The sequence below is a fragment of the Homo sapiens genome, chromosome 22, assembly GCF_000001405.40.
Source record: "Homo sapiens chromosome 22, GRCh38.p14 Primary Assembly".
In the NCBI taxonomy this organism is placed as follows: Eukaryota; Metazoa; Chordata; class Mammalia; order Primates; family Hominidae; genus Homo; species Homo sapiens.
This window is the reverse complement of record NC_000022.11, coordinates 46893294-46907171: the sequence shown is the minus strand read 5'-3', so window position 1 is coordinate 46907171 and position 13878 is coordinate 46893294. Positions and strand designations below refer to the sequence as shown.

General features: G+C 47.9%; 1 protein-coding gene across 19 annotated transcripts in view, besides 1 other annotated feature; it reads right to left on the bottom strand.

The window, feature by feature from the left end:
• The window catches only part of TBC1D22A (TBC1 domain family member 22A), a 413050-nt gene that overhangs the window by 268528 nt on the left and 130644 nt on the right, over positions 1–13878 (bottom strand). For all 19 annotated transcript variants that reach the window (XR_007067971.1, XR_007067970.1, NR_104292.1 and 16 more), the window contains 1 exon segment: positions 12326–12388. Coding sequence is in view for 16 of the 19 variants with exons in the window: in NM_001284304.2 (NP_001271233.1) it covers positions 12326–12388 (63 nt within the window). In the remaining 3 variants the exon portion in view is untranslated.
• Positions 3864–4509: an enhancer, noted in NCBI's record as "H3K27ac-H3K4me1 hESC enhancer chr22:47298559-47299204 (GRCh37/hg19 assembly coordinates)". NCBI's record gives its function as "activates a minimal SCP1, AML or CMV promoter by ChIP-STARR-seq in naive H9 embryonic stem cells {active_cell/tissue: H9 hESC(naive)}" and the evidence as "EXISTENCE:reporter gene assay evidence [ECO:0000049][PMID:30033119]".

Sequence of the window (13878 nt, the reverse complement as noted above, 5' to 3'; positions counted from 1 at the left end):
GTGCACACACGGAGAAGAACACACGCACACACACACAAAGAAGAGCACACGCACGGAGAAGAGCGCACACACGTGAAGAGCACACACACACAGAAGAGCACACATGTGGAGAAGAGCACATGCACACAGAAGAGTACACACATACGAAGCGTGCACACAGAGAAAAGCCCGTGTACACAGAGAAGAGTGTAAGTGCACCAATCTACACACACAGAGAAAAGCTCATGTGCACAGAGAGCACACGCGCACACATGAAAAGCACATGCGCACATATACACACGCAGGAAAGAGCCCATGTACACACACAGAGGCACAAGTGCACATACACAAAAAAGAACACACACACATGCACCTAGAGCACACACACACATACACACACACACACACACACAGTTCAGGGTCCATCTGGGACACACACACAGCCACGGGCCAGTGAAACAGCTCAGGGTCTATCTGGGAAGTACATGTGGCTGAGAAACGGAGCGAGCAGCCTTTCCTTAGTGACTTGCTCGTAGGTGGAGAGCTGTTTCTTTTCTCCCTGAAAAGCCTTCCTATTTCCAAGCCTTCCTATTCCAAGGATCTGGGATGGAGAGGCCCTGCCAGATGAAACCCATGGTGAGTGCTCCCGCGCCTGCCATCAGCGCAGAGTCTCTGCTACTAAGAGGAGGCCTGAGCGTCTTTCCTGCTGAGGGATGTGCTGCCTGCAAGCTGTGTTCAGGCCCACCATTCCCACTGTAGACAGCGGCGCCCAGGCAGCTAACCTATCCTAAATGCACACCAGCCTCGCCAATTAAATCACTGCCACAAACCACACAGAGCTGTGCAGCCCCTCCCCAACATTTATTCTGGGCAGGCTCTCCTTGCTCTCCATGTAATTATGGATCTAAACTCACCTTCTGGCTGCTTATCTCCCTCCAACGATAGCTATTAATTTAGAAAGTAAGAAAACATATACGATTTACATTTTTTTGGGTAGCAGTAGGGAAGAAAAGGTAAATAACTGCTTGAATTTCCTGCAGCTGCCCTTTCTCCCATCACTGCTGTGCTGAGGGCAAGCCAAGAACCAAGATGGCTCCACCCTGGACTAAGCCAAACGCAGGTCGCAGGTCCCAGGCGCCCCGCACGTGGCTGAGAGGCTAATGTGAGCCCCACCTGCCAGGACCTCCCACCACCCACCAGGAAACTGCAAAAGGGGCAGCCATCCCACCAACACAGCAGACAGAAACCTATCCTCAAAATGCTACCACAGATCAGCCTTGTCTAGACTCAGGAGGAAAATCCCCAACACCTACAATAATGGAAACAAGGTTCCATAAACAGAGAACGTCTGGGACACGGGAAGGTCATGCCCCCAGAAGGATGGAGAAGGACCACTGATTCCTGCCCGCCCACAGGTTGAGGAACAGCCTGTGGGAAACCAGCAAGGCAGGGGGAAGCTTGGCCCCTAGGTTCAGGACATCCCTGGCCATGCCCCAGAGGCTCCCTTGGCCCCAACTTCTGGGACCGCTGGCCCTCGCGTGTCCGCCTTGAGAGACCCACTCAGCTCAGTCCCCAGAGGCCCCGCCTGTCCCCCACCCGCCAACCGACCGCAGGCTTCTCTTCCAGCGGCCACCCCGTGCCCTCCTCCCCGGGGCCGGCTGCAGGGCTGGAAGCTAAGGATGCTAGCCCAGGGGATGGCTACTCAGGACACCCTGCACGGACCCAAATCAATCTGCTGCTTTACCAACTTGCTCATGAAAGGCTCTGAGCAGAGGCGACAGGCACAGACCCTGAGCTCCTCTTCATGCTGGCAAGCTATGAAGCCAACTCACAGGATGACTGTCTCCATCAGAAAGGACAGAGGCCTCCTCCAGGCCCAGGCTTCCCTTTCCTTGCTGCTTGCTGTTGTTTTCACTGCCTCATTCCTTTTTATCTTTTGTCTTGAATCACTTCATATGAGTTATGCTGGTGTTTTGAAATGGCAAAAACTAGTTCTAATCCCAAAGCAATTTAGTATCATTTTAAAAACTCCTTCCGAAATCACCTGATTTGTACTGTGGTGCCTAAGAGTCCCCACCGTCCCCCTCTGAAAGCCACAGAGGCTTTAAAACATTTTCTCAGCCGGGCGCGGTGGCTCACGCCTGTAATCCCAGCACTTCGGGAGGCCGAGGCAGGTGGATCACGAGGTCAGGAGATCGAGACCATCCCGGCTAACACGGTGAAACCCCGTCTCTACTAAAAATACAAAAAATTAGCCGGGCATGGTGGCAGGCGCCTGTAGTCCCAGCTACACAGGAGGCTGAGGCAGAAGAATGGCGCGAACCCGGGAGGTGGAGCTGGCAGTGAGCTGAGATTGCGCCACCGCACTCCAGCCTGGGTGACAGACTAAGACTCTGTCTCAGAAAAAAAAAAAAAAAATTTTCTCGGCCGGGTGCAGTGGCTCACGCCTGTAATCCCAGCACTTTGGGAGGCCGAGGCAGGCAGATCACCTGAGGTCAGGAGTTCAAGACCAGCCTGACCAACATGGAGAAACCCCATCTCTACTAAAAATACAAAATTAGCCGGGCGTGGTGGCGGGCGCCTGTAATCCCAGCTACTCGGGAGCCTGAGGCAGGAGAATGGCTTGAACCCGGGAGGCAGAGGTTGCTGAGAGCCAAGATCACACCACTGCACTCCAGCCTGGACAACAAAGCAAGACTCCGTCTCAAAAAAAAAAAATTCGTTTTTCATCCTGGTCACCAGCAGGCAAGCCAGGAAAGCACTCGCGGCTGAGAGCACACTCGGATGGTATTGCCGAGGGTTACCCTGAAATTATCTTGCCGCGTGATTTTCACCACAATGAGCTCGCCACATAGACATCACTGAAAGCCTGTTATAAGAAAAAGAGGTCCCATCCCCAACACCAAAGGACACATGCTGTGGGACTCTGAAGCCCTGCATCAAATAATCGTACCTTTTTTTTTATTCTTTTTTCAAAAAACCGCATTGAGCCAGTTCTAAGCTTTTGCTCTCAGACTGGTAGGTAGGTAGGTAGGTAGGTAGGTAGGTAGATAGATAGATAGATAGATAGATAGATAGATAGATAGATAGATAGATTTTATTTAGATATGTATATATGTATACATACACATATATATATACATATATATGACAGATTTCATATCATTTTTTTCCAAATAAGCATTTTCAAAGTCTACAGGGTGACACTTAAAGGGGTCTGGGTAAAAATTAAGCATGCCACCTCCCTTGAAGGTGCGTCCACGGGCAGCGGGGCACTCGGCAGCAGCCCAGCAAGCTCTGAGCAACTGATGCTTTTCCCGGTTTGCTGGGAGTTCCTACCACCCCTCAGTCCCAACCACTACCCAGTGCCTCCACTGCTGCCTTAGACAGTCTCAGCCAGAAAAGAAGTCAGGTAAGAATCTCTTCAAGGAGATTCCTTTCCACCCCCGTCCACTGGGGCTGTCTCACAGCAGCGGCCCAGCCGAGAGGAAATACACTCCTGTGTGCTGCTTCTTACCCTGCTGGGGCAGGCAGGGGGAAGACCTGGCTGCTGCAAAACATTGAGGGGGCCTCTCAGACTCCCCATGCCCCTGGACAGGGCCCGATTCCTCGCAACTCCCTCAGGACCTTGCTGGTCCCTCTAGACTCACGCTCAGAGCAGCAACCAGAGGCGAGAGCTAGGGTGGAAGTCCACTGAAGCGAAACAGGAAGAGCCGACAGGTCCCCAAATTCAAGCGGCAAAAGCCAGAGGTACTAAGCCAAGAATCTCAGAGAAGAGGCCTAGCCAGCCGGAGCAGCCATCAGGGCGGGGAGGGCAAACAGGCTGGCTCCATGCCTGGTCCACAGCTTCCCCGAGTACAGACGCCCCCGCAGGCTGAACTTCGCTCTGCTACCATCCTGTGGGTTCTCGAAGGGGAGCCCCTTCGCCTGCAGCCTGGGATGGCTGTGCCACTGCACTTCACCTCAACCCTCGGCCCTCAGCCCTCGGTCCCGAACGCCCACCAGGCTGAGGTCTGTGACCCCCTGCAGGGCGTGAGGCTGGGTTGCAGAGTCCCCTGAGGAAAGAGATCCACAGAGACTCCAGGTGCACCAGGGAGAGATCCACGGCCCAACCGGGCCAGGAAATAGAAGAAATCACAGAGCAGAGACGTGAGGCGGCCCCAGCAATTGGGCATGACCCTCCAGAGTGGACTGCCCCATACGCTGCCCCTCCTCGGGCTGTCTTCTCCAATTCTTTCAGCCACCCTGGAATGCAGTCGGCAGGATACAAACTGTGGTTTCATTGACAACTGTATATGATCTCTCTGGGTTTCACGCACATCTGTCTTCATCCCTCACTTCAACTGTGCGCTGCTGAGGACAGAGACATCTGAGTCTTCGTGTCCCCACGTGCCCACCGGGTGTCTGTCTGCTGGTGTTCTTCGGGAATCACAACCATTACAACTTTGTGTGTCAAAAATGCAGGTGTGTTGCTTGCAGTTATCGCAGGAAAGGTGAAAACAACGTGCCCACTTGAACGGGACTCTGAGTGGAGGCGAAGAGTCAGCTCAGTGGAAGGGCTGGTTTAGCGGACACAGCGGGGCTCTGTCCCAGGACAGCAACTCGCATTCCAGCAAGTGAGCTGTCGCTTAAGTGGTGATATTATCTAGCAAAGGGCAATAAAGGAAGGACGCCCTAAGGATGCGGCTGTGTTTAAGGACAACACAGAATAATCTGAAATGGTTCAAACAAGAAGTACTCACTGGATATCATTAGCTACTAAAGTTCTAGTAACATTCTTGATGTTCACGTCTTTGTTAGAGAGTGGGAATTCATTAAAAGTAGTACAAACTTTAAACTCTTCCCAAAGTATCTTTTCTGCAAATCAGTTAATACTCAACAATAATAAAAATGGTTGCTACTACTGGGTACCACCAGGGCTGAAGAAATTTAAAAACCAGAGGTATTCCCAGCTTGCTTGCCAAACTTCAGAAATCTGAACGCCAGAACATGCATGCTAATTCGGAAGGAAAAGGTTCTTCCTAAAAACCTCAACAGCACTCTCCCACAGAAGGCTCCCAGGAGGGGCTTGAGGTCCCCTACTAAGGACCCCGGTCTTCACCGTGTCCACCTAACAAACACCCCGCATGCCTCCAAGGCAGGCCCAGAACACCAGCAGTTCAGTGCACACGAGGGAGCTCAGAGATTTTGCATAACTAAAAAGGAACTATATTGAAATTGAAAATGTTGCTGTACTCACGTTTATAAACAATCTGATTTGAGAAATTTTAAAACATCATAATTCTATATGCATCAGCAATGTGACATCACGGTATACAAAGCGCCATGGAGATAATTTCTGGGAGAGGAGCAAAATAGAGAATTCTACTGAGAAGACCTGTGGGATGTACAGCCCTCAAAATCCAGAAGCATCGTAGCGTCAGAAAGAAGAAATTATTTACAACTCAAGTTTCTGCAACATGATTCAAGGAACATCCCCCCCCCATGTGAGTTATAACACTTGATGAATGAAACCAAAATCGAACTGTAGAAATCTAGAATTGGGTTAAAAGGCAACCATATATCACATAAAATCCACACTGAGTATACCAAAACTACTGACTATATGTTTACAACCTAATTAATGGGTAGAACTCTCTCGCGATGAGCAGAAATGCCACATTTGGTGTGTGAATTACTCAACATTCACCTCATTCAAATACGTTAATTTACAGCCCACGTTTTGTGCCCACGTCAGGTGTCTTAACAGGTTAGCAAAACACAGAGGTTTCCTTATGTCCAAAGAACTAAGTACTGAAAATAAACAATACTTTCACACCAAGGATCACATCACTATTACCAGAGAAAACAACGCAGCTGAGAGGATTCCACATCCGGGCATAACTGAAGAATCAGTACAATGGTCAGAAAGCACTTTCCAAATTAAAGAGAAACCTGGCTTCCACGTCTGGCAGCGTGGCACATCACATGTTAGCAAACTTAATCCTGCAGTGTGGCCTGGCACGTTAGATGCCAACAAACTTCTGAAATACACTTTTAAAAATCCATCATGACCAATCTGGATTTATTTCAGGAATATACAGTTGGCTCAATACTAGAAAATCTAATAAAATTCACTACATTAACAGATCAAAGAAGCAAAAACATATCTCAGATGGGAGGAAAAAGGATTTGATAAACCTCCACAACCATTTATGATTTTAAAACTAAGAGCAAGGCACCTTCCTTAACATAGTAAAGATTAAAATCACAAGTCAATGGTGCAACGTTAAAAGACTTCCCTTTAAAATCAGCAGTGAGAACAGGATGTTTGCTTTCCCCAATAAGATTAGTACATGAAGGTTTAGAGAAAATTTATTTTGTAATGGGCAAAAATTAGAAAGAACTCCAGTGTCCGTCAACGGGTGCACAGACAGACACACTGTGGTACGGCCATACGGGAACACTACTCAGCAGGAAAAGGCAATGAACTCCTGATCCTTGCAACAGCATGCACAAACCTCAAAACCACTACACTAAGTAAAAGAAGACACAGACTAAAGTCTACAGTTTCTAGGACTCCATTTATATGAAATTCTACAAAAGGGCAGAACTCTAGAGACAGAAAGAAGATCAGCAGTTGTCAAGTGCAAGGGTGGGGAGAGGAGACTGACACAAAGGGACATGGGGAACCTCGCAGAGTGACGGAAATGTTCTGTATCACATATTAGGGAGCTGGTACACACCTATAAACACAGCTGTCAAGCCGGGCACAGTTACTCACGCCTGTAATCCCAGCACCTTGGGAGGCCAAGGAGGGTGGATCTCCAGGTCAGGAGTTCAAGACCAGTCTGACCAAGATGGTGAAACCCCATCTCTATTAAAAATATAAAAATTAGCTGGACATGGTGGTGGGTGCCTGTAATCCCAGCTACTCGGGAGTCTGAGGCAAGAGAATCGCTTGAACCCAGGAGGCGGAGGTTGCAGTGAGCCGAGATCGCACCACTGCACTCCAGCAGCCTAGGCAACAGAGCGAGGCTCCATCTCAAAAAAAAAAAAAAAAACCACAGCTGTCAAAACATCCAATTATAAACCTAAAATACGTGAATTTTATTAGACCTCGATAAAGCTGACCAGAGGGAGAGAAAGAGAAAGGGAAGGAGAAAAGGAGGAAGAAGGAAAGTAGAAACTGATCACAGTGGACCCAGCCATCACCTGTGGAATGGATAAGCAAATGTTTCGATAGATGCAGGGGGTTGGAGGGATGCTTACGGCAGAAATCCTTCTTCCTATTAGCAGCCCAAACTTTAGGGGAGCACACAACTAAAAAAATCAAAGTTACATTTTCCCTGATCCATACAGCTAAGTATACAACCATGTCACTTTGGATGACAGGCTAAGTTACAGCCAGTAGGAAACAAGCAGAAGTGCTATGAGCAGCTGCTGGGACACATCTTTAAAGTGGGGGTATGGCATTCTCTACCCACGTCTTATTATCCCTGCTAGTGGAATGCAAATGTGATAAAGAGTGCTAGGCCAGCCACCTTGGACCATGAGGTCAAAGCCAAGCATATAGAGGAACAAACAATGTGCTGACAATGACCTCGTACTGGAGATAGTAATCGAGTTCTGGCCTGTGAAGGCACATTCGGGATTTGCCATCACTTGCAGATGTATTGAAATCTAACCTCTGCACCTCTACAATGCCAGAAACCATAACTCAATTTTTTCTACTGGCCAACACAAGACAAATTTTTTTTTTTTTTTGAGACGAAGTATTGCTCTGTCACCCAGGCTGGAGTGCAGTGGCGCCACCTCGGCTCACTGCAGCCTCCACCTCCCGAGTTCAAGCAATTCTCCTGTCTCAGCCTCCCAAGTAGCTGGGACTACAGGTACGCCCCACCACGCCTGGCTAATATTTTTATTTTTCATAGAGACAAGGTTTCACCATGTTGGCCAGGCTGGTCTTGAACTCCTGACCTCAGCTGATCTGCTTGCTTTGGCCTCCTGAAGTGCTGGGATTACAGGTGTGAGCCACCACGCCCGGCCAAGACAAACATTTCAATACTTTCCTAAAGCCCCTTGCTCATCATTCAGTTTCCCCACACACACAAGGCTGTGCTCAGGTTACCCACTCTTCACACTCTGCCAGCCTGCAGGAGCCTGGCTCTCCCAGAAGCTCATCTACCCTCCAAGTTGATCCACTCTGCCAAGCCTTGCTGAACTGGGACCTGGAGAGGATCAGCACCCCCAGGGGGAGCACATAGGACCTGAGCAAGACCCACTGCAGAGGGAGTGAAAGGAAATTGAATTTCAAAATCCCAAACTCATTGAGCCAAAGGGAAAAGTCAAGCTGGGACCTGGGCCATGCAAACTTGCCTTCCCCTTTTGGTTCCAAAATAAGATGGCTACACGATGAAGCTACATGCCTCCCCCATATTTTGCCCACAAGGAAATTCCTAGTGAGCTGCAAGATCTTTTAAGGTGTTTCTGTAAAAATTTCACCATGGCAGTGTAAATGGACAACTTATGTTCACAGGTGCACCCCAGCCCACCAGACACAAATGCATATCTGATTGTTCCCTGCCCCATTGTGTCTAGGTTATCTTATGTAACATGCAGACTCCCTGCATTTTCCCTCTGCTCCATTTGTCTATGTCGTTTTAGGTTAAAAAAAAAATGCAGATTCACTGAGCCAGACAAAGGCATGAATGTTTTTCTCTGTCTCCCTCATATATGAAAACTGTGCACTTCTCAATATCCAGCCCTGTCCCCTTTAAATTTGGAGCCCTGAAAATCATCCCGGGAGAAAGACATAGACCTGTCTCCCAGGCGTGTGTCCTTAACTTTGGCAAATAAACCTCCTAAAAATGATTGAGCGTTGTCTCATCATTTTTCTCAATTGACAGGGGAGGCTTTCCAAACCAACAGCTCAAGGCCCATGGTGGTCAGAGACAAGAGGACCAATTGCCAATTGCTACCACTAGCCGTGACTCAGGGTCCACACTCTGAGACCAAGAGGCCTGAGAGGTCAGCTGTACAAAGAATGCAGCAAGTGGTAGGAAAAAATAAATAAGAATAAACCAAAGGTCCTGTGGCAGGCTCTATTTCCCATTTTTAAAATCGTAAGTAAAAAGGAGGTTATAACAAATTATCTCATTTTCCAGGTATGATAGGCACAACTACTAAAAAGGACAATCAAAGAGAAGTGTCTCAAAATGACTACTTCTGTTGGATACTAATTTTCTCTTTTTGTATTCTACAATCTGTAAATACTTTTGCTTTAACAATCCTAAAGTTTTTTTTTAACAGATTTACTGCACAGACAAGAAATGTCAAAGTTTAAACGTGCCTTTACTGAAGCAATCAACATGCAAAACAAAATATCTCAAATAATAAAAATTTCAGCTTTAAAGAGATAACATTTACTATAACAAGAAAAACATGTGATAACTAAGAATAAATCTAATAAAACACGTCAGGCAGGAGAATAGGGTCTGGAGGCAGGTAACCTAAGGCCAATTCACACTAGCTTCCTAGAACTAAAAAAAAAAAAAAAAACACAAAAAAAAACAAAACGAAACAAAACAAAAAAAAACAACTTTCCATGCCCAGGTAACAAAAGGACCAGAGGCTACTGCCTTCACAATCCACCCCTCTTCTGCGTGGCAGATGAAAAACTGAAAGTACCTCTGATTGGTCCCCTCCAGCAACCTAGCAGCCTGGTCCCAGGCCAAGTCTTCATCTGCATAGGAATATAATTTTGTGACTTCAGCCTCTGATTGGTCACTTTCTGCAACCAATCAGACATTTGCATAGGGTGCTTCACTTCAGCCTCTCATTGGTCGCTTTCTGCAACCAATCAGACTGATAGCGGGCCACTACTTCATTTACATAGGGTGTACACTAAGTAACCGATGGGAAACCTCTAGAGGGTATTTAAACCCCAGAAAATCCAGTTACCAGGCCCTTGAGCTGCTTGCTCAGGTCCACTCCCGACCTGTGGAGTGTGCTTTCATTTTCAATAAATGTCTGCTTTTGCTGCTTCATTCTTTCCTAGCTTTGTTTGTGCATTTTGTCCAATTCTTTGTTCAAAGCACCAAGAACCTGGACACCCTCCACCGGTAACACATGTACGAGACGCTTCATAGGGGAAATTCAAAACCTTCACTGAAAAGCATTAAAAATGACTTTTAAAAGAGGAACTAGCACATTCACAAAAATGAATATTTAATTTCATAAAGCTATCCATTCTCCCAAACTAAAAACTGTCTTTTCTGACCCCTAACTTTCCATGGAATAGAAAGATTCCATGCAATTCCAGTCATAAACCAAACAGACCCAAAAAACAAAAAACAAGTGAAAGACCTTGGCAAACTGACTCTGAGACGTACGTGGAAGAGCAAGGGGTGGGACTGGCCAGTCCACGGTGAAGAGGAAACCAGTGGGCGGTGTGCACCCCCACCAGGTAGGAGGACGTCATGAAGCTAAATTACTTGCGGGGTGCGATATGAAGGGAACACTACGTAAATACTGCGACAAAAAAACAACACAACACAACACAGATCTATATGAATGTGGCAGTGACAGAAAACAGGAGTGACATAACAAATATGGGAGATGAGCTGGACCCAGAAACAGTATGGGGACTGCCACTGTCCCAGGAGGAAATTAAACAGACTCCTGCCTCCCATCACACATGGCCATCAACTGCAGATGAACTGAACACAGAGGCGTGAAAAGCAAAACTTCTGGATGAAAATCTGGGTGAACACCTTCATGTGTAGAAAAAAGTTCTTTAGATAACATGCATCAGTGCTCACCTTAAAAGACTGTTAAGTTCAACCACACTAGAGCTAACAACTTCTGATCATCAAGATCCACCAAGAAAAAAGGAAGAGAAAAGCTGCAGAGGGCAGAAGATCTTTACAACATACAAACTGACAAAGAATCAGAATTCTTACCATGTAAAGATCAACAACTAATAAAGGAGCGAATCGACAAACCAAAAGAAAAATGGGCAAAAGGCAGGAGGAACATTTCGCAGAAGGGGGAAAGACAGAAGACATCCGTAAATATACAAAGAGATGCTTAACTCCGTGAGTAACCAGAGAAACAAACGTGAGGACTGCAACAGGAATATCCACCAGAGCAACAAAAACAGGAAGTCCCACAGCATGAAGAACTGGCAAGGATGTGCGGCGTGCGGAGGGAACACTCACACGCTGCAGAGGACAGTTTATTTGGTAGCGGCCGTCTGGGAAGCTTGTGGACATTATCTTGAAGGTACAACAGGCACACACCACACCCAATGATGCAATAATTGTACTCCTTTGTAAAAGCCTTAGAGAAATCTTGCCTGTGAGCACCTGCATAAATGTACGTGAAGGCTCCAGATAACACCCTTCCTAACAGCAAAACATCAGAAACAACCCAAATGTCCAACAGGAAGAAGACGAAGGAGAGTGAGGAATATTTAAATAACAAACTATTATGTAACTAGATACAACAGATTAGCTGAATCTTAGAAAACAATGAGAGACGCCGGGCGCCGTGGCTCACACCTGTAATCCCAGCATTTTGGGAGGCCAAGGCGGGCAGATCACTTGAGGTCAGGAGTTCAAGACCAGCCTGGCCAACAAGGCAAATCCCTATCTCTACAGAAAATACAAAAATTAGCCGGGCGTGGTGGTGGGTGCCTGTAATCCCAGCCCAGGGAGGCTGAGGCAAAAGAATCACCCGAACCCAGGAGGTGGAGGTGGCAGTGAGCCGAGATCATACCACTGTACTCCAGCCTGGGCGACAGAGCAAGACTCTTGTCTCTAAATAAATAAAGGAAAAAAAAACAAGAGGCAGAGACCAGACTACACAAAGAGTTATGCAGCTCCAAAAGACCCAAATTAAATGAATACATTGTGTCCCTACTGTCCCATGAATGAAAGTCACAAAGAATCGTAAACATAAAAGGCAAGAAAGCGTCATCCAGGAAGGGGGTTGCACAGGGGTGGGGGATACACAAGCGGCCTTGGTGCTCTGGGTCAGGCCTGAGGTCAAGGCCATGTTTGTAGCTGGGCAGCACTGGGGGGTTCTGTTTCCTCAATCTGGTGGTGGAACATGAGTGCATACATCCACACATATGTATTACATACATTCTTCGCTGTGTGTCAATATTATACAGTAAAAATATTTAAAGAACAAATAGAAGTCCTGTCAGCAACTGTGTCCACAAGGGCTAGATGCACCGGCAGCTCACCACAGCAACCTTGCTTCTGGGTGAAGCACCTCCGGCTGCGCCCACTGTCTGGTTAGCACAGTGGGCATCAGCCACTCCCAACGAGGGGAACTCCCCACGGCAAGAGCTTCTTACCTCCGTCACCTTGGGCTGCAGGATCAACGCTTCAGGGCTCATGCGAGGGATGTCTATGTGGATCTGGAGAAGCAGGAGAAACGGACATTTATGTTACGTCACAACAAACATCATTACGAGCGATATGATTAAAACAGCAATACTGAGGTAAGTCCTTCCCCGGCCTCTACCCCGCTCTCTCCTTGAGGATTCTCGTTCTCCATGTTACCACCTTCTCCCCTGAAGGAGGTATCCAAAGCCTGTTCTCTCTGAACAGCTCGCCCAGGCCTAGGCGACAGGCTTGCTTGACACTGTCCCTATCCAGCAGCCGTTGCTGCATGATTAGAAACAGAGCAGGCCTCGGCTGCTTAGTAACATCAGCCATAGCAATTAGTAAACATCGATTTTCAGCCTCTGACACAGACAGCAATTCAAGTACATCAATAGTTTACAAGTTTTCAGCTGTGACAGCTTCTTCCTGGACAGAGGCCACATTTTTCTCCACTTTATGAAGTCCTGGGGGAATCTAGAACATTTCTCAAAGGAAGCCTTTGAAAGCCTCTGTTAGTGTCAGCTGGTTCCTGCTTGGCCACCGTCTGACATCAGAGTCATAATAAAGTCCCCAACACTGCAGAGGAGGACACTTGTGGTTCAAGAAGCAACCAAACAAGAGTGTTGTGGGCTTGGCCTGGCATCACAGGCAGGCTCCCGACATCCCACGTGAACATCTCACACTAGCCCACGCTCCCGTTTATCCAGGACAACGGCACCAATGGACTGAGGGAAGACAGGCACATTTTAATGCCAAGGGAGATGCTGCAATTGCATTTCATTTCGCCCCATCCTTGCACATCTCCACAGAGGACTCTAACACCCAGGAGGCTGGGACATCATCACTCTGCCACTTATCACACTGTGGCCAGGCCTCAGTTTCCTTGTCTACAAAATGCCTGCTCCAAGTATCTCAAAACGTTACTGGTGAACATCAAGATTGTGAGTCAACAGCCAAATGGAGTAAGCTGAGGCACACACACACATCTGTGATGCGTGCCAAAGGAGGCCCGCCAGCAGCAGTGCTGCCGAGGAGGAGGAGGAAGAGGAGGAGGCAGAAGCAGCACTACTCTATCCAGACAGGCAGGGCCAAAGGACTGAAGCTGGCCCCATGCAGGAGCCCAGGTGCCAGCAGGGACAAGGGCCCAGGTCTCTCATCAGGGTGTCCTGGCGGCCTAATTGCTCTCCCATACAGTTACACTCGTGTGGACACACATCTGTCCCCAGCATGAGCAGCATAAGCTCCTGCAGGGCAGGAACCAGGTCTGAGCCACCTCTGCATGACCAGGGCCAGCAAAGCCCGCTTACATAGGAGCTCCTGTCACACATTTATTGAGCAGACGAGGCAGCATCCACCAGACCCAACCCCTGCCATCATCCCCATTGTCAGGAGAGGCTCCAACATTAGAGAGGCGGTCCTCCACAAGGCTGGGCAGGTGGGGCTCTGTGCACCCCTCCATCCATCCCGCCTGCCTCCCATCATACACAGAACTGGGCAAATCAGAAAAAGGCCACAAGAGAGC